This window comes from Homo sapiens, chromosome 1 (genome assembly GCF_000001405.40).
Source record: "Homo sapiens chromosome 1, GRCh38.p14 Primary Assembly".
Lineage (NCBI taxonomy): Eukaryota > Metazoa > Chordata > Mammalia > Primates > Hominidae > Homo > Homo sapiens.
The window spans coordinates 46,245,608-46,266,062 of record NC_000001.11 but is presented as its reverse complement, the minus strand read 5'-3'; the positions used below and the strand labels follow the sequence as shown (position 1 = coordinate 46,266,062).

The window sequence follows — 20,455 nt, the reverse complement described above, 5'->3', positions numbered from 1 at the left end:
CTTGTCTCTCTCAACTCTGTGCTCCTGTGGCACTATATACGTAATGGCTGCTACTATTTAGTGAACCCGTTTAATGTGGTAGGCATGGTACTAACTAAACACTTTACCTGTATTCTGTTCTGTAATCCACACGAATGGAAATTGTATTATCCATTTTAGAGATGAAGAAACTAAGATTCAGAGAGGTAAACAGTTATCCAAAATCATGCCGGTAGAAAGTAGCAGAGCTGGGATTTGAACTCAGGTCTGTATGACTCTGAGTCTGGACACTGTACCACTCTGCCCTCATCCATAATATATATACTAGAGTACTAATCACACTCTACTGTACTTTATCTTCTCAACTAGGCAGAGACTAGGATTTCTTAAGGCAGAGACTATGTCAGATTCGCCTGTATAATTTCAGTGTATAGGACAAAGCTCAGTGAATATTAGTTGAATGAAAGAATGAAATAATGACCAATGTTGCTATTAAAGATTAAATAAACCAACGGGGCATGGTGGCTCATGCCTGTAATCCTAGCACTTTGGGAGGTTAAGGCAAGTGGATCACCTGAGGTCAGGAGTTTGCGTCCAGCCTGGCCAACATGGTGAAACCCTGTCTCTACTAAAAATACAAAAATTAGCTGGGTGTGGTGGCATGTGCCTGCCTCCCCAGTTCAAGCAATTCTTGTGCCTCAGCTTCCTGAGTTGCTGGTATTACAGGCATGTGTTACTATGCCGGGCTAACTTTTGTATTTTTAGTAGAAACAGGGTTTCACCATGTTGGCCAGGCTAGTCTTGAAATCCTGACCTCAAGTGATCCGCCCATCTCAGCCTTTCAAAGTCCTGGGATTACAGGTGTAAGCCACCGCATTTGGCCTAGAAATTTAATTAAGAAAAAAAAAATTATTAGAGGCTCCAAGTACTAGCCCTAAAAAAAGCCTTAGACTTCTGAACTGAAGAGGGAAATGAGACTTGAAAGTCAGAGGAAATTACCCAACAGGTCCAGGGGAAATGGGCACCAACAATTAGATCTTCTAAACTGAAGCTCCCTGAGGGACAGCATTGTGAGATCTCCAGGGCTTGACACATAAAAGGCACTTAATAAATAACCCAGCGAATGAAATGGGCTGCCACACTATCCTGTCTCTGCAAAAGAGAAAGCCAACCCCAGCTCCCTATTGGACCAGTCACTAAGGATCCACATGGGTCTCAATGAGGAGCACAGGGACAACCCTTCCATACCCAAGGCAAGCTTCTTCCTGCACCAAGCATCCAAGGCAGAGAGGGATAGGAAAAAGAGCCACGACTTGGAATCTCACACCTGCATTCACATTCCAGCTTACTATGTACTCGCTAGGAGAACCTGGGCAAGTCACTACGCACTTCCCTGAGTTTGTCTCCTAATCTTTAAGATTGAGATGACGATGACGTCAATCCCTCTGCTATTTATACACTTGTACAAAGTGCTCCCATATATCCTCTCTTGATCTGTATCATATCCCTTTCAAGTAGCCCATGTGCCATCCACTCTACAGATGAAGAAACAATCTCAGAGCAGTCTCATCTGTGGAAAGTCACGCTTGTAAGTGGCAAAGCCAGAGCTGATCCCGTGTCTTTTGATTGAGGATCAAAGATTTTGTACATAGAAGTTATTATGAAAAACTGTGTTCCAGAGAAAAGCGTTACTGGGAGGAAGATGCTGTGGGAGCTGAGAACATGAAAGCCTGAAATGGCACCTTCCCTTTCCAGGGTCTGAACAGGACAAACCCTCTCCTTCCCTGGAGTAAGGTGACCATCTTTTCAGGACTTTTGGTTCCTCAGATCTCTGACAGTTGACAAAATAAAAGGTAAACAAGTAGAAAGGTAAACAGCCAAGGGGCTGCAGTGTGATAAGAGGCAGCCTCATCCCTTGTGCCCTGCACAGAGTCAGCTCATAAAACAGGACAGAGTGGGGAAGAAAAAAACACTAAGGAGTAGAAAAAGGCTGGGCACGGTGGCTCAAACCTGTAATCCCAGCACTTTGGGAGGCCAAGGCCGCAGATTATTTGGGGCCAGGAGTTCGAGACTAGCCTGGCCAACATGGTGAAACCCCATCTCTACTAAAAATACAAAAATTAGCCAGAGTGGTGGTGCACGCCTGTAATATCAGCTACTCGGGTGGCTGAGGCAGGAGAATTACTTAAATATGGGAGGCAGAGGTTGCGGTGAGCCAAGATCACGTCACTGCACTCCATCTGGACAACAGAACAAGACCCTTGTCTCAAAAAAAAACAAAAAGTAGAAAAAAATTTAGATGCTCCCTAATCCTCAAAGGCTCAACAGCTACAGCCTGCCTTCCTCTCCCACAATGCTTTGGACCTGGCTCCTGGCATAGTCCCCCTCCACAGTGATGAAGCAGATGTCAGGGCCTTGAACCACAGGGCAGTAACATGCATACCTCACCTCAACCTGGTAAGTTCCCTACTCCTACCAGGAAGTTGGGAGTTTGAAGACCCGCCAATGACTGACCAGAAAATAGCTCACAACTAGAAAGCATGGTACCCAAAAGCAAGCTTTTTCCCTCTGTCCCCTCTCTGAAGTTCCTCAGACAACTGGGCTAATCTACAGTACCCAGAGCTGAGCCTAGCCTGACAACTGGTTGACAGATAGGGCCAAGTCTTTCAGCCACCTCTCCACTAGAACCTCTGGGGTATACAAAGGAGGTTAACTCTCCCAAGAAGTTGCAAACAATGACTATAGCCTCAGGGTCGCCAAGCCCACTGGGAAGTCCTGGGAAATTCTCTATAGTAGGAAGCTCCCAGCCACCCTCACTGCTTCCTAAGTACTAGCCTCTCTATTGCCATTCACACATACTGGAAAAGGCCAGGAAGTAACTACGGCCATATTCCCTTAGTTCCAGAAACAAGAAACAAGAAGTCAACACAAACTACTACTACAAGGTGTATGGACTTTCTTATCTCTGCTTTTGTTCTTGCAAGTACCCCCAGCCTGGAATAACCACCAAGAGCTTACGTTTGCCAAGGCCTTATGACATACCAGGCACTGCGATAAGAGCTTTTTCTTAATAATTTCATTTAATCCTCACAATAATCCTATGAGGCAGATATTATCACCCCATTTTACTGATGTAGAAACAGAGGTTCAGCTGATAAAGTAACTTGTTGAAGGTCACACTGCTGGTCAGTGGCAGAGCCAGGATACAAATAAAGGTCTCTAACTCTAGAACCTGTTCCCTGTGAAAGGAAAACAAAATCTCAGGACCCCAAACTATGCCAAAGGGAAAAGCTAAGCTTGGGAACTAGTCAAGCAAAAAAATGTCTTTCCTTTTGTTCCTAAACAGATAGCTGCAGATAGAACGCCATGCCTCTCCCCAGGTGGCCTCCCTCACCCTGACAATGTAAAAAAACAGCTCATCTTTACAAGCAGGGGACAAAGACAAGACTAGAAATCCTCCCTCCCAGACAAATGTGTATTTGACTTCTTCCTCTACTCTTTATTTACTTAACTGTATGTAAAATCAGATTTATTGAGCTGAATGCATAACTGATGGCTCCTCTTTCCCTCCTGCCTGCTCTTGCCCCTTTATGCATATTTGTGTGGTGTTGTTTTTTGAGAAAGGGTCATGTGTGTCTGTGTATATGTGTGTTTTTTGGTTTTTATTTTGTTTTTTTGAGACAGAGTCTTGCTCTGTCACCCAGGCTAGAGTGCAGTGGCATTATCTAGGCTCATTGCAACCTCCACCTCCCGGGTTCAAGAGATTCTCCTGCCTCAGCCTCCTGAGTAGCTGGGATTACAGGCACCCACCACCACGCTCGGCTAATTTTTGTAGTTTTAGTAGAGACACGGTTTCACCATCTTGGCTGGTCTCAAACTCCTGACCGCATGATCCGCCCGCCTCAGCCTCCCAAAGTGCTGGGATTACAGGTGTGAGCCACCGCGCCCGGTCATATGTGTGTTTTGAGACAGGGTTTCACACCCCATCACCCAGGATGGAGTGCAGTGGCGCAATCTCAGCTTACTTCCCGGGCTCAGCTGATTCTCCCACCTCAGCCTCCTGAGTAGCTGGGACTACAGGTGCACCACCAAACCTGACTATTTTTATCTTTTTTAAGTAGAGGTGGGGTTTCACCATATTGCCCAGGCTGGTCCCAAACTCCTGGGCTCAAGTGATCCACTCACCTCAGCCTCTCAAAAAGTGCTGGGATTACAGGCGTGAATCATCGTGGCCAGCCCCCCTTTAAATATTGAAGTCCTCAAAAACCTCTTTGGAAAAAGTACAGGCTACAGATCCTACTTTGGCTTGTGTCTCTTTTTCCCCAGAGCATCCTCAACCTTGGCAAAATAAATCTCTAAATTGAGACTTGTCTCAGACACTTTCTGATTTATATCCTCTAAACATTGCCACCCACCCTTCAAGGTCCTTCTTTAGTCTAGGAATACTATCCGGAGGCAACAAAGCCAATCAGCCCCCAGTATCTCACTCTCCTCAGGGTTCTAAGCATTGTTTCAGCCCTCTTTTGGCAGACAGTATCTTGTATTTTGGTATCACAGGCTCTCCCTGTCACTTGTCTCCAAGGCAGCATCCTGTCTTCAGCATTCCCCAGTGACTAGCACAGCCCTTGGAAGGCAATACTCAGTGAAGAGATTTTGACAGATTTTCTCCTACCACCCAGACTGCTGAGAGTCAAGTACCTCGTCACATATGACCAGACCAACACTTCCTTTCTGGAGGACTCCAACATGAAGGCGGAAGGTCTCATAGGAAATGATGAGGATGGGAGAAGACACCCTGGCTCCACGCTGGTTCATGAATCCTTCTACAACAGAAAAGGTGTAAAGGGAACAATTCAGAATCTTTTGAAAAAAAAAAAAACAAAAAAAACAATTAGACAGTTCTTTAATTTAGCCTGGAAACAACTGACTCCACTTCAACTATTTTCAATGGAAATTCTCTTTTCTTCTACCCCTGCATTGCCCTCCACCCTGGCCATAAATGAGCATACACGTAAGAAAGCAGCAGGCTGTGCAGGAGAGTGCAGCCATCTTTGTTAGGGCTCCGTACCCAGCTTTTGGTCTATTTCATCCTTAGATCCTCCATCGATGGCCAGAGGTTGGATCCTCCCTCCGAGCCATTTCCCAACCTCATTGTACCAGTTCTTCACCAGGCTGGAAGGCGACACCACCACTGCCTTGTCAATTTCTGGCTTGCACTCTGGACTCTGGCGTAAAAGTGTCCACATCAATGTGATGCACTGCAGCGTCTTTCCTAGGCCCATCTCATCAGCCATGATGCAGCCATGGCTGCCAGGGATGCGCCGACTGGTGACACACTCCCACAGGAATTTCACTCCCTAGAGAATAACAGCCTTCAGTCCACTTTGGCACCTACGCTGCTGCTGTCCCAGGGATGGTAGTCTCCCAGGCTCAGCCCATAGCCCATACCTCGTTCCCCTCACCCTCATTTACCTCTCTCTGATGAGGCCGCAAAACCTTACTGAGAATAGGGTCAACAACCACATGGACAGGGAGTTTCTCCCTGAGAAAACACAGCAAAGAAAACAGCGTGCTCAGACATGGGCAAGGGAGCACCCTCAGGAAGCTGTGTCCTGCTGATCCGGAGGCAACAGAGGCAGCTGCCTAAAAGAAGACCTTCTTGGCTGATAAATCGTAAAACCATAGCAAGTTCCTACTTTAGGAGTTAGAAAGTTAGCTCAGAGAGGGATGGGTTCCCTGTGTCATCACCTCAATCACTCCTCCTCCTGAGTGAGCATCCTGGGAAGGCAGGAGGGGATGAGGAATGCCCACTCACTGGACATGACCACAGGCTCTTCCCCAGGCAGTCTCCTTCCCCAATCATCTACTCTCTGAAAACATATGTCAATCCTAAAAAGAAATCACACCAAAATACCCTCTGCCCTCCCAAGTATGCGTGCATATACAGAGAACCAAAACTGCTTATGAAATACCAGTGCACATACTTGTCAAGCTTCAGCTGGTCATGAGCGCTCAGCGGGGGAGGCTCATACAGAACCAAGGCATCTTTTTCCAGGGGGTCATGGAGGGCCCGGCGGACCCCAGCCCTTTTCAGGCCCAATGCTCGAGAGCCCAGAGGACCTACAAACCAATAATCATTCCGTCACCTGAATCTATGTTTAGGAGCTCCAGCAAGCCCAGCTCAAATACTTGTCCTTCACATAACCTTTCCCGAGCTCCCATATGACCCTCTCTCTCTGAGAATGCCTCCAAACTCAGTTTGGGCATCTCTATATGACCATTATCCCATTCAGCTTTTTTTTTTTTTTGAGATGGAGTCTCACTTTGTTGCCCAGGCTGGAGTGCAGTGGCACAATCTCGGCTCACTGCAACCTCTGCCTCCCAGGTTCAAGCAATTCTCCTGCCTCAGCCTCCCAAGAAGCTGGGATTATAGGCTCCCACCACCACACCCAGCTAATTTTTGTATTTTTTTTAGTAGAGACAGGGTTTCACCATGTTGTCCAGGCTGGTCTTGAACTCCTGACCTCTGGTGATCTGCCCGCCTTGGCCTCCCAAAGTGCTGGTATTACAGGCGTGAGCCACGATGCCCAGCCCCCAGAATTTTTCTGCTTTGAATCAGAGCTTTTCCCGTTTTATTTCTCCCATTCAATTACAAACTTCTGAGGTGCCAGATCTGGTTCATTTCAACTCAAGACAATCCTGGGAAGGCCTGAAATTCTAAAGGGCACTTTCATGGAGCTTTCTGAGAGCTCCTGAGAGCTGGCCACAGCCAAGCGTAGTATCTCAAGCCTGTAGTCCCAACACTTTTTGAGAGGTCGAGGTGGGAGGATCGCTTGAGCCCAGGAGTTCGAGATCAGCCTGGCCAACATAGTGAAATCCTATCTCTATTAAATTAAAAAAAAAAAAAGAGAGAGAGAGAAAGCTGGCCTCCCTATTCCTCCAAGCCCCAGTTTTAGCATAATGCTGTACCCTACATAAGACAGGGAAAAACCTTATAGAATCCAGGCCTCCCACACAGTCAGCCTCATAAAAGGGATGCTACTGAATGCACTTGGATTGAATGAAGCCCAGGTCCATCAGCCATCTTGGCCCACCAGGAGCTTTCTGAGCACCGGGACACCTCTACCAAGAAGATGAGGGGCAGTTAGTCTTGGCAGCCCTTACTGAGGCTAACACAGTTTTCATGCAGGCCTCAGGAGGGTCACCCCAAACACAGCCACCGCTGGACTGGCACCTTCAATTCCCAGCTAAGCTTGTATTTACAAAAGCAGGTTTTTAATTTATTCAGGCACACGTACATATGACTGATTTCAAAAACAGAAAAACCTCCATTTTACCTTGATAATTTGGAATGGGGACTTTGAAAGGCTTTGACAAAATGCTTCGAATAAATGCTTCCTAAAAAGAAAGGAGAAACAAGGATTCAGGACTGACTGGAGATGTTATGGGACAATATCATGATATGCTTCACATTAGGTTTTGTACAACAGCATCCATCTTCGAGGCTTTATGTAAGGTTCTACAAATATCCAGGGATAGCAGAAGGGCCCAGCCTCAGTCAACCACGAGGCTTAGAACCCAGGAAACCATTCACTCATTAAAAACCATGCCAGTGAGCATACCTAGCTCTTCCCTAGGGTATAGCACCTTGGAAAGCAAATACCACAGACTTAGCCAACCTGAGTAATAATGGATAATTCTAATGTCTGGGTTTAACCACTGTCATATAGGGTTACACCTTCCCAAGCACACCTCACAATTCTTTTTTTTTTTTTTTTGGCTACATCAGTTATGTCTAATATATCTAATACTCACATCAGCCTCCTTGGGAACTAAACAGCTCATCAAAGAGTAGTGATGGAGAAATGGGAGCCATCGTATTAATAAAATAATATTAACAACACCAGGCCGGGCATGGTGGCTCACACCTGTAATCCTAACACTTTGGGAGGCCAAGGCAGGAGGATCACTTAGGTCTGGGAGTTCGAGACCAGCCTGGGCAATATAGCAAGACCCCATCTCTATTTTAAAAATATATATTTAAAAATATAAATAAAAATAATGATGGCTACCAATGTATGCTAGACACAGAGCTAAGCCTCTTGCATTCATGTTACCATTTAATCCTAACAGCTGTATGAGGTCCATATATTACTGGTGTTTCCATTTTACAAATGAGCAAACTGAGGCTCAGAGTGATTAAGTCACTTTCTCAAGTCACAAAGCCATTACAAATGCAGGACTTTCCTGGTTCTAGGGTCCTTACTTGTACTCAGTAGGCAACGTGGCCTCTCACCCACTCTGAGTACAGCCATGCAGATCAGCCCAGACCCAGCAGCTTCCTGCCATGTAAAGCACAAGAGAAGGAACATGAGAAAGGGACATGAGAGAGAAGCTAAGCCCAACACTAAGAAAAAGCAAGTGGGACAAGGGTGACAGCAGGTAGACATATGTGGGTCCTAGAGAGGTAGCACTGGTGACTCCTCCACCTAAAGGCAAGAAGCCTCTGTACAAGCACTTCTGCCTTGAACCAGCATTATTCCATGGGCTATGGGGCTGGGGCAGGGGCAGAGAAGGCAGAAAAATTAACACTGAGCTAACTCTGACAGCTCCCATGGAAGTTCTGGTCCACACACACCTGAGCCCTTTGCGGAACTGTGATAGCCTGTGAACCTCAACAAAACCAGAGGTGGAAGCCAAGAGAGCAGAGAAATAAAGAGCAGAGACCCTGAAGGTAGTTTTAATGGGAATATATTAGTGGAAAAAGCAGTAATGAAAAAATGTCCCTTCTAGCAAAAAACATAGTCTAATAGGAAAAAAAGCAAGCCTGCCGTGATATTTTTACCTTTGTTTTCTGACTCATTTCTTCACACATCATCAATGTCTAGAAATTCAAATGTACTTTATTTGTTTTTTGGGGTTTTTTTTTTTTTTTTTTTTGAGATGGAGTCTTGCTCTGTTGCCCAGGCTGGAGTGCAATGGCACAATCTCAGCTCACTGCAACCTCCACCTCCCAGGTTCAAGCAATTCTCCTGCCTCAGCCTCCCAAGTAGCTGGGACTACAGGCACACGCCACCACACCTAGCTAATTTTGATATTTTTAGTAGAAACAGGGTTTCACCATGTTGGCCAGGCTGGTCTTGAACTCCTGCCCTCAAGTGATCCGTCCACCTTGGCCTCCCAAAGTGCTGGGATTATAGGCATGAGCCATCACACCTGGCCTCAAATGTACTTTAAATTTAAAAAAAGTAATGAATTTTTTTTGTGATATTAGAAGACAGAAAACAAGTATGTAGAAATGAACTTCCTTATCACACTAAATAACATGACAACATCACACTAAATAACATAACATAAAGGCAAAGTTGGCAAAAAACTCAAATGCTTTTGTTTATTTGCAAATTTCTTTGCATCTGAATAAAATCTTTTATTGACTTTTTTTTTTTTTAAAAGACAGGGTCTCATTTTGTCGCCCAGGCTGGAGTACAGTAGTGGTGATCATACCTCACTGCAGTCTCTAAGTCCTGGCTCAAGGGATCTTTCTCTAAGTCCTGGCTCAAGGGATCTTTCTCACCTTGGCCTCCCAAAGTGCTGGGATTATAGGCATGAGCCATTATGCCCAGCCTTTACTATTTTTAATTAGCATGACTGTAACTATGAATAGCAATGATAATCATTATGAAAAATGCTAACAAAAAGGACCCTTGGCCAGTGCAGTGGCTCATGCCTATAACCCCAGTGCTTTGGGAGGCTGAGGTGGGAGGACCGCTTAAGCCCAGGATTTTGAGACCACCCTAGGCAACGTAGTGAGACCCCCCCACACACCCCGTACACAAAATTTAAAAATTACCCAGGCACTGTGGCACATGGTCCCAGCTACTCAGAAGGCTGAGGCAGGAAGATCACTTGGCCTAGGAGTTCAAGGCTGCAGTGAGCTACAACTACACCACTGCACTCCAGCCTGGGTGACAGCAAGACCTGCCTCAAAGGAAAAAAAAAAGCTACTCTTAAGTCAAATGAGAGGAAAAGGAGATGGACCCTAATTTTCTTTTTAATTTGGCATCAATTCTAAAACAGAAATATTTTCAAAATTATCAGTATAGAAGGCTAGATTTGAGGCTCTGAGTAGCCAAGAATTTATGCCCTAAATTTAAAAAGACTTTCAATAGAACACAGGAACCATAGGTTCTGCAGGGAGAACTACAGGCTTGCATAACTGGTAAGGAAGAATGTGGAGACCCCTGGCCAAAAATGTCTGAGGGCTCAGCCTGCAAAATGGAATGGCCTGCTGGGCACAGTGCACGCCTGTAATCCCAGCACTTTGGGAGGCCAAGGCGGGCAGGTCACCTGAGGTCAGGTGTTCGAGATCTGCCTTGCCAACATGGTGAAACCCCGTCTCTGCTAAAAGTACAAAAAACTGAGCTGGGTGTGGGGGCGGGCACCTATAATTCCAGCTACTTGGGAGGCTGAGGCACAAGAATCACTTGAACCTGGGAGGCAGAGGCTGCAGTGAGCCGAGATCGCGCCACTGCACTCCAGCCTGGGTCACAGAGCAAGACTATGTCTCAAAAAAAAAAAAAAAAAAAAAAAAGGAATGGCCAACCTTCAGGGATCTGGTTTGGTGACTCACCAGTCTCTATAGCAGGGGGCAGGGGAGGGAGCATGCTCTTATTCTCTGTTCATTTAGTTACTGATAATTCATACCAATCTTTCCTTCTGATAGATGAGAGACAGCATCCCTCCTCCCCACCAAGGCTAAAGCTTCCCATTTCTGCAGAGAATCACTCTGTTATGACTGATCACTCTTGTATCTCAACCTCTCCCTCTCTACTAGCTCTTACCAGCATTTAAAATGGACTTAATTATCTCCTATCTTAAAAACAAATATTCATTTGATTGCTTATCTCTCCTCTCCACAGGCAAACTTCTAGTAAGTTATATAGCTCCCCTTCTTTCCTCCCACTCTTCCTGTCTTCTGCCCCTTCCACTCTGGCCAAGATCACGAATGGCCTACATGACCCTAATTCCAATGGACATGTATCTTACTTGACGAAGCTGACCACTCCTCAAATATTTTCTGCCTTTGATTTCCATGACACTACTCTCCACCTTTCTGGGATCTCATCTTCAGTCCCCTAATGAGCTCTTTTCCCTCTGCCTTTTAACCCTCAACCCACCCCCAGAGCTCAATGCTCCCAACCGGCTGCAGTGACTCACGTCTGTAATCCCAGCACTCTGGGAGGCCAAGACAGGAGGATTGCTAGAACCCAGGAGTTTGAAACCTGCCTGGGCAACACAGTGAGACCTGGTCTCTACATATCATTTAAAAATTAGCCAGGTTTGGTGGCACACGCCTGTGGTCCTAGCTACTCCAGAGGCTGAGGTGGCAGCAATACCCGAGCCTAAGATTGAGGCTGCAGTGAGCCGTGATCGCACCAGTGCATTCCAGCCTGGGTGACACAGCAAGACCCTGTCTCAGGAAAAAAAAAAAAAAAAAAAAGTCAGTGCTCCCCAGGGCTCAGGGTTTAGCCCTCAGATCTTCTGACTACCCATTCACCAATCCACTTACCAGGTATAAAATTTATCTATGCTAATGAGTCCCAGGTGTATTTCTAGTTATACCTTACTCCACATCCACATTTACAACTGACTCCAGACCTAGATCTCCTGCAGGGACTTCAAAATCATCATGTCTAAGGCTGAAGTCCTCATCTCCAAGGCCACACTATGACTCTTGTGGGCCCCAGGCACTTTTGCCTTTGGGACCCCTTCCTCCATTAAAAAAAGAAAAAAAAAAGAAAAAAAAAGAGGCCAGATGCAGCAGCTCACACCTGTAATACCAGCATTTTGGGAGGCTGAGGCAGGCAGATCACTCAAGGTCAAGAGTTCAAGACCAGCCTGGCCTACATGGTAAAACCATGTCTCTACTAAAAACACAAAAATGTGCCAGGTATGGTGGCGGGTGCCTGTAATCCCAGCTACTCAGGAAGCTGAGGCAGGAGAATCGCCTGAACCTGGGAGGCAGAGGTTGCAGTGCGCCAAGATCACGCCACCGCACTCCATTCTGAGCGACAGAGCAAGACTCCCTATCAAAAAAAAGAAAAAACAAAAACAAAAAAGACTGCATTGGTATAAAGATAACTATAATAATATAATCAGGCTGGATTACTATGTATTTTTTTTCTTCTGATTTCAAAAGGAATTAAAGATCACCATCGCTCTCTAAGTGCAGTGTTAGCTCACCAAGCTCCAGCTGAAGGAGAATGGAGATAAGTAAGCAGGTGAGCCAAGACAGCACCACTGCAGCACTCCAGCCTGGGTGAGAACACAAGACTCTGTCTCAAAAAAAAAAAAAAAAAAAAAGAGTACCTAAGTATATCACTGTGAGTAGAAAAATAGGGGACAGAAATCCGGTATTGCAGTTTGCAGTTTTTCCATTTTCATTTTTTGTGTGAATTCTTTTTTTTTTTTAGACAGAGTCTCGCTCTGTCACCAGGCTGGAGCGCAGTGGCACAATCTTGGCTCACTGCAAGCTCCACCTCCCGGGTTCATGCCATTCCTCAGCCTCTCGAGTAGCTAGGACTACAGGCGCCCGCCACCACACCCAGCTAATTTTTTGTACTTTTTACTAGAGATGGAGTTTCACCATGTTAGCCAGGATGGTCTCAATCTCCGATCTCCTGACCTTGTGATCCGCCCGCCTAGGCCTCCCAAAGTGTTGGGATTATAGGCGTGAGCCAACGTGCCCGGCCTTTTGTGTGAATTCTTAATATAAATGTAGGGATGTAAAGCATTAATACAAGTCAAAATGTTTCAGTGAACAAGTTTCAGCACTTCAATTTTATAACAACCATAAACAAACCTGTTCATATCTTCTGGACAATGGATTTTTTAAAATACAATTTCTTATTGACAGCAACTAAACAGTGTTAGTAGCATTCTTATCATACAGCAGATTCTACCCATTAACTATACTTTTCTGAATTTTCCTATACGCAAGTATTTTTTTTCCTTTTGAGACAGGGTCTCTGTCACCCAGGGTGGAGTGCACTGACAGTATCACGGGTCACTGCACCCTTGACCTCCTCAGCTCAAACGATCCTCCCACCTCAGCCTCCAGAGTAGCTGGGACTACAGTCACGTGCAACCACATCCAGCCAATTTATTTATTGTTTTTTAGAAATAGGGTCTCACTATGTTGTTCAAGTTGGTCTCAAACTCCTGGGCTCAAGTGATCCTCCTGCCTCAGCCTCCCAAAGTGCTGGGATTACAGGTGTGAGCCACCACACCTGGCCTGCAAGTACATTTTTAATGTTGTCTATCTTCTGTTCTATTCCTGTAACTTTGCTATTAAAAGAGAATAGCTCTTGTATAATACATTGAACTTCATGGGCCTCCTGATTACAGTGCCTGCCATCTCCCTCCCACCAAATGCCATTCTTCTTCTGTGTTCCCTATCTCAGCAAATGACACCACCATCCATCTACCTTGCCAAAGCCTAAAATCCCAACTTCATCCTCAATTTTCCCTCTCCCCACATGTAATCAATCCCAAGTTTTTCCACTTGTAATTTTTAAGTATCTCTCAAAATCCACCCACTTCTTCCCATTCCCCATTCCCCTAAAACCCATGTCCAGGCCATAATCCTCTCTTGCTTGGCCACCTGCAATAGCTTTCTCACTAGTTTCCCTACCTCCAGTCTCTCCCCATCCAACAAATATTCTATACTGCTGTTACCTCCTACCCCCACTTAAAACACTTCTAAAGCTCTTCAGTGACCTTAGTCCAGACTCTCCTAGCATGGCTTCTGAAAGGCCTTCCACTCTTAGCCACTGCACAGCTCTCCAACTCTCATCTCTCACCACCATCCCCCAACTCCCCACACTCTCTTTTCAGTACCTGCCTCTATTGCTGCCAGTCTTTCCAATAAGCTGTTCCTTCTATTAGAATGTTTTCCACTCCCTTCACCTGTCTAACCCCTCATATCTTTCAGGACTTAACAGCACATCTCTCAGAGGCAGGTCTTCCCCAATCTCCAGACCCATAGGTCTCCTGTTGTGCACTCCCACAACTGCACTTATGCCATGTAGTTACACAGGACAACTTTGAACAAATCCTGAATGAAACAGTCCCAGAGGATTACACACCATTTTAACACCATTTTCTTTCTTTTGAGACGGGGTCTCGCTCTGTCACCCAGGCTGGAGTGCAATGGTGCCAATCTCAGCTCACTGCAACCTCCACCTCCTAAGCTCAAGTGATCCTCCCATGTCAGCCTCCCAAGTAGCTGGGACAACAGGCACACGCCACCATGCCCAGCTAATTTTTTTTGTATTTTTGGTAGAGATGGGGTTTCACCATGTTGCCTGGGTTGGTCTCAAACTCCTGAGCTCAAGCTATCCGCCTACCTTGGCCTCCCAGAATGCTGGGATTACAGGCATGAACCAACATGCCCACCCAACACCATTTTTTAAAGTTCAAAGAACCAATTAAACAATGTATTAGTGATTTTTTTTTTGAGGTGGTCTCACTCTGTTGCCAAGGCTGTATTAGTGATTTTTATATGTATGCTAAAACTATCATAAAAGCAAAAGATGATGGATAAAATTCAAGATAGTGATTACCTCTGGGGATGGGAAAAGGGATTATGGGTTTGACAATGTTCTAGTCCTGGATGATGGGTTCACGGGTGTTTGTGTTTTATAACTTATGTAATATATCTATATTTATCAAGTATTACACAAAACTGTTGTTTTTTTGTTGTTGTTTTGGGGACGGATTTTCACTCTTGTCGCCCAGGCTGGAGTGCAATGGCATGATCTCGGCTCACTGCAACCGCTGCCTCCCGGGTTCAAGTGATTCTCCTGCCTCAGCCTCCCAAGTAGCTGGGATTACAGGCATGCACCACCATGCCTGGCTAATTTTCTCTGTATTTTTAATAGAGACGGGATTTCACCATGTTGGCCAGGCTGGTCTTGAACTCCTGACCTCAGGTGATCCATCCACCTCGGCCTCCCAAAGTGTTGGGATTACAGGCGTGAGCCACTGCGCCTGGCCCAAAACTGTTTTCATTTAGTTGTTTTGTTTTGTTTTTTGTTTTTTGTTTTTTTTTTTTGAGACCGAGTCTCACTCTTGCCCAGGCTGGAGTGCAGTGGCGTGATCTTGACTCACTGCAACCTCGGCCTCCCGGGTTCAAGTGATTCTCATGCCTCACTTGAGTAGCTGGGACTACAGGGGTATGACACCATGCCCAGTTAATTTTTGTATTTTTAGTAGAGACGGGGTTTCACCATGTTGGCCAGGCTGGTCTCAAACTCCTAACCTCAGTTGATCCACCCATCTCAGCCTTCCAAAGTGCTGTGATTACAGGCGTGAACCACCCGACCCGGCCACAAAACCGTTTTTAAATGTTTGCTGAATGCACAAATGACTAATCTCCATTATGTATTCCTACTTTTCCTTCAAAACATTCCTCATAAAGCTTAGTGGAAAAGCTTTGGAGATAGACAGATCTGCTCCACCCACTCTGAGCAAATTACTTAACCCTTCTGAGACTGTTTTCTCATCTTAAAACGTGAGAATTACATGAGGCAATGCACAGAACCTGCCATGGTGGTGATTAAGTTTGACTTTACTAGAGGAAATACATGACTCTGGTACACCTTAAAGTCATATACAGAGTCAGAGTCTGAGCTGACATGAGGATCCTAGTTCCTTTACCCTCCTTTCCTCAGGAATCTGAACCATCTGATATCTGGTGCCCATGTAGCTACTATAAACCAGGCACAAGTCAGGCACACCTCTCTAAGCAGGCCCCAGCAGCTGTGGGCAGGTCCAAAGCCCCTACAGATGTGTGTCTTCTGGCCACTCTAGAAAGCACTGAGGGAGTGTACAGGGACAGGAGTCTACCTAGGCTGAGTGACTGGGCACAGACATACACATGCAGGTTGCAGTTCTGGCTTACATGCTGACTGCTGTCCAGACAAGGTGGTTGATTGGTTAGCTGACTCAAAGGTTTCCGAAAAGGAGACAGGAAACACTCCTGGATCTGGGTCTCACTGCTGGATTTCCGTTTCCTAGGAGTCTAGGAGAGAGAATTGGGAAAGGTGAAGTCTAGAAGACCACAGAAATCACCATAATGGCAACTAACACTTGAAGTGCTTATTAAGTGCCAGGCACTGTGCTAAATTCTTCACACATGTCATAGTGTATCATCTTCATAGCAACTCTATTATGTAGAGTTATTATCCTTATTTAAGAGGTGAGAAAACTAGAGCTTAATGAGATTAAATAACCTGCCTAAACTGAGCGGGGCAATGGAAGAGGTAAATAAAATGGGCCTCTGAAGAGCAAGTCTACCAACAGCATGGAGTCCTGGTGGCCCAAAGCTTCACTCCAAAAGCTCCATGGAATGATGGAGCAACCAAACATTTCGCTGAGTTTCCAAGAGGCAAGAATACAGCTGCCTTCAACTCCCAGGCCACTGAGGCCACTCCCCACTCAGGCCACCCATGGCTGTGAGGACACTGGCACTAAAAGCATCTTCAGAAGCAACCAGCAACTGACAGCAGACCCAGATGCAGAGAATGCTGCCCCAAGTTCAAGTCTGAGACCCATGTACATGGCAAGGGTCAGCCAATGTGCCTCCTTCACAGGTAGAGAAGCCCCTTGCACACCACGGTACAACTATTGAGCAAGCCCCATCAAGCCATTAGGCAAGAACACACTTGTACCAGCTTGCCAGGATATTTGAAGCCTCAGTGATCCTGTAAGACACACCTGAAACAAACACCAGCACCCCTACCCCACACCTTATTCACACACTGCTCCTGCCAAAAAGTGCCTTCTAGTCCTTGCGTAGCTGATCCCTTCCTTCAAAGTTCCAGTGGCCAAGCCCCCACTTCTTGAACTGCTCTTATTCTCTGAAGTCCATGCTGCACTGTCCTATTTATTTTGGTTTACATAGGTCCTGCCCACAGCCAGCCCCAACAAGCCTCCAAAACAGGAAGCAGAGCCCAGGGCCCAACCTAAAGTAGAATATACTGTACTTGAGTATGAGCAAGGACTGGAAGGACACAACCTGTCAGATCTAGGCCCAAGTGAGCCCAGGACTCCAAGGTAGGCCCAGAACACTCTACTGTTCTGTGACACTGGGCAGGGGACAAAGAGCAAAAGAGCCAGCTGCTAATTGCTGTTGTGTAGCCCTTTTTTCCAAGCAGAGTCAAAAGGTCCAATCCAACTGGCTCTTTTGCTTATCTTTTCCCACCAGGAAAACTGAGGCTATATTAGCTTCTAGTGACTACCCTGAGGATAAAGATTTTACTAATCTTGTTCAATGCCTGGCACATAGTAAGTACTCACTAAAAGTTTATTGAACATACAAAAGAGGCATCTGGAATTGGCTATGTAACCCTAGAAACCAAATCCTGGCTTCTTTTCTGTCCAAACAGCTCTACCCACCTTCCCTGTCCCCTTGAGTGCTCACCACTAGGCCAGGTTGCCAGTCTTCATCATCACAGGACCTGCCTTCAGGTTTTCTCTTGGCCAGCTGGCTGGGAGCCAAGCTCCTCCTCTGTAAAGGGAGAACAGAAACAGTGCCTGCAAGGATCCTGCAGCCTAGGCCTACTAGACCCTGACCCAGGGCTATTCCCAGTCTCCCCTAGGCCCACACTTACCATCCTGGGCCTAGGAGTTTAAAACGTCAAGTACCCATGAGCCAAAGGTCAAAAGCAGGCAGCGGCTAAGAGTGTAGGACCAGGGTCTAATCTGTAGAGGGGGCTGCTACATTATTGAGAGGACCGGCTAATTAAAGAGGGGGCATGGATGGCGGGAATCCATCCAGGAACTGGTGTTTGGAACCAAACTGTGAGAGTGGCCGTCCCCAATAAGCCGAGACGAGAGATTAGGCCAAAGAGGAAGAGACCAAGCAGAGATTAGTGTGGGATTGGGGAGGAGGCAGGTGGAGTCCCAGACTGGGCGGAGTGGAGTGGGGATGATGGTCCCAGTCCGGGTGAAGGGAGGAGGTAGTTGCGCGGCGGGGCGGGGTGGGATTGGGGGTGGGTAATCACTGGCCAGGAGAGAGAAGCTGGGGTGAAAGTCCGAGGCCCGGGTGGGGAGGGCGAGTCTGGAGAAAGGAAATTTCCCAGGGCTGGAGGTGGAAACCAGGATCAGACTCAGGGAGGTCGAGCAGGAAGCCACGCGGGCGTGTAAAAAACCCAGGTTAGGAGGGGAATACCAGGAGGGGCTGAAAAGAGCGACAGAGATAGACGCAGACCCCAGCACCTCTCTCTCAACCTTCCTGTTCCCAAAGCGCGCGTTAACAGCCGCCAAGACTCACCGACCCGCCAAGACCGGGTCAATCGAACCTCCCGCCGCGCTGCCGTCGTATCACCCATTGGCTGCGTTCGATGAGTTCGGCGCTCGCGACCCAAGGAAGAGGCGGGAATAGTGCTGCGCCCAATGAGGAGTCTGGGCTCTGGAGCTGGAGAAGCTAAATTGACCTACTAGGAGGCGTGACTTAGATGGGAGGGCGGGGCCAACAGAGGTGGGCGGTTGGGCGAGAAGAGAGGGGCGGGGCGGGGGCGGGGGTGGCGGGGGAGGGGCGGGGCCAACAGCGAGGAGCAGTTGGGCGAGAAGAGCGGGGCGGGGCGAGAAGAGCTGGACGGGGCGGGGAGGGGCGGGGCCAACAGTGGGGAGCGGTTGGGCTAGAGGAGCGGGGCAGGGCTAGAAGAGCTGGACTGGACGCGACGGAGCGGGGAGGGGAGGGGCGGAATTACTACCTGCGAGCTGGAATTCGGCCCGTCTCGGGTGTTTGTCCCAGGTCGGTGAGCTGTGGTCCCGCAGCTATGGAAGGGAAGATTTACGCCACATTGAGCAGCAGGGGAGTTACCACCTGTAGTGGACAGCTGGGGATTATGAAAGGCGGCACATTTCTGGGAGTTTGGATTGAATCTACAGTGGTACCAGGTCTAGAGCGGAGGGCCGGGGTTGGAGTCAGGCCTCGCCCACCCAGAAAGTGGGGAGAGGCATTCGGCCCAGACTGCCACGTGGCGGGCTCGGGCAATGGGAGCCCCCGGATGACGCGACTTTCTCGCTCAGGGGTGTCTTGAAAGAAGCTGCCTTCCTCTCCAAGGCCAAACCGCGTTGGAGGAAGCGTTGTGTTTGGAGTCAGAGATTTAATCATCCAATCTCTCAAAACGTCAGTTTCTTCATATCTAAAGTGGCATTATAATAGTACCTCCCCCCCATGGCTATTCTGACAAGTAAATTAATGTGCGTAAAGCACCCAACAGTGGCATGCACAACCTAGGTACTCACTAATAATGATAAGGGTGTATTTATAGCATTTACCACCAGGCATTTCTGAGCTTCTAAGATATAACAGTTCATGTAATGCTCATGACTATGAGGTAGGTTTATTTTTGTCCCCATTTTGTAAGTGAGGAAACAGGCCTAGATAGGCTAGTAACTTGTACAAGGTCACACACCTGAGTATAGCTTAAGCCATCCTCACAGGGTTATCAAGAATTCTGAGGTCAGGCATGGTGGCTCACACCTGTAATTCCAGCACTTTGGGAGGCCGAGGCAGGAGGATTGCTTGAGCCCAGGACTTCCAGATCAGCCTGGGCAACACGGAGAAACCCCATATCTACAAAAAAATTAGCCAGGCATGGTGGTGCACAGCTGTAGTCCTAGCTATTGCAGACGCTGAGCTTGGAAGCATCGCTTGAGCCTGGAAGGTCAAGCTGCAGTGAGCCAAGATCGCGCCACTGCACTCCAACCTGGACGACAGAGCAAGACCCTATCTCAAAACAAAGAATTCTGGGCCGGGCGCGGTGGCTTACGCCTGTAATCCCAGCACTTTGGGAGGCCGAGACGGGCGGATCACAAGGTCAGGAGATCGAGACCATCCTGGCTAACACGTGAAACCCCGTCTCTACTAAAAATACAAAAAATTAGCCGGGAGCGTTGGCGGGCGCCTGTAGTCCCAGCTACTCGGGAGGCTGAGGCAGGAGAATGGCGTGAACCCGGGAGGCGGAGCTTGCAGTGAGCTAAGATCGTGCCACTGCACTCCAGCCTGGGCGATAGAGCGAGACTCCGTCCCAAAAAAAAAAAAAAAGAATTCTGGAGAGAAATATCGTTTTAATTAAGTATTAATCGGTTGGGAGGCTGTGGCCAGCGGATCACTTTAGGTCAGGAGTTCGAGAACAGCCTGGCCAACATGGTGAAACCCCGTCTCTACTAAAAGCACAAAAATTAGACGGGCGTGGTGGCAGGCGCCTGTAATCCCAGCTACTCATGAGGCTGAGGCAGGAGAGTCGCTTGAACTCAGGAGGGGAGGTTGCAGTGAGCCGAGATCGCACCACTGCACTCCAGCCGGAACGACAGAGCGAGACTCCATTTCAAAAATAATAAATAAATATTTCTGGTTCTAGTTTCCAGTAATAGCAAATAAATGTAGTCAGATTAACCCTCC

General features: G+C 47.2%; 1 protein-coding gene across 3 annotated transcripts in view, besides 1 other annotated feature; it reads right to left on the bottom strand.

Moving 5' to 3' along the window:
* Nucleotides 1–18,375, bottom strand: part of RAD54L (RAD54 like) — a 30,786-nt gene extending 12,411 nt beyond the window's left edge. The window contains exons 1-9 of one of the 3 annotated variants that reach the window (NM_001142548.2): nt 18,317–18,375; nt 17,655–17,719; nt 17,465–17,551; nt 15,944–16,063; nt 7,317–7,377; nt 5,964–6,099; nt 5,452–5,521; nt 5,048–5,336; nt 4,678–4,802 (exon numbers count right to left, since the gene is read on the bottom strand). In NM_001142548.2, coding sequence (NP_001136020.1) covers nt 4,678–4,802; nt 5,048–5,336; nt 5,452–5,521; nt 5,964–6,099; nt 7,317–7,377; nt 15,944–16,063; nt 17,465–17,551; nt 17,655–17,657 — 891 coding nt within the window. In that variant the 5' untranslated portion in view covers nt 17,658–17,719; nt 18,317–18,375. The other 2 variants (NM_001370766.1, NM_003579.4) reach the window with 2 other exon arrangements.
* Nucleotides 18,480–18,739: a silencer, noted in NCBI's record as "silent region_839". NCBI's record gives its function as "represses an Ori minimal core promoter by ATAC-STARR-seq in GM12878 lymphoblastoid cells {active_cell/tissue: GM12878}" and the evidence as "EXISTENCE:reporter gene assay evidence [ECO:0000049][PMID:35858748]".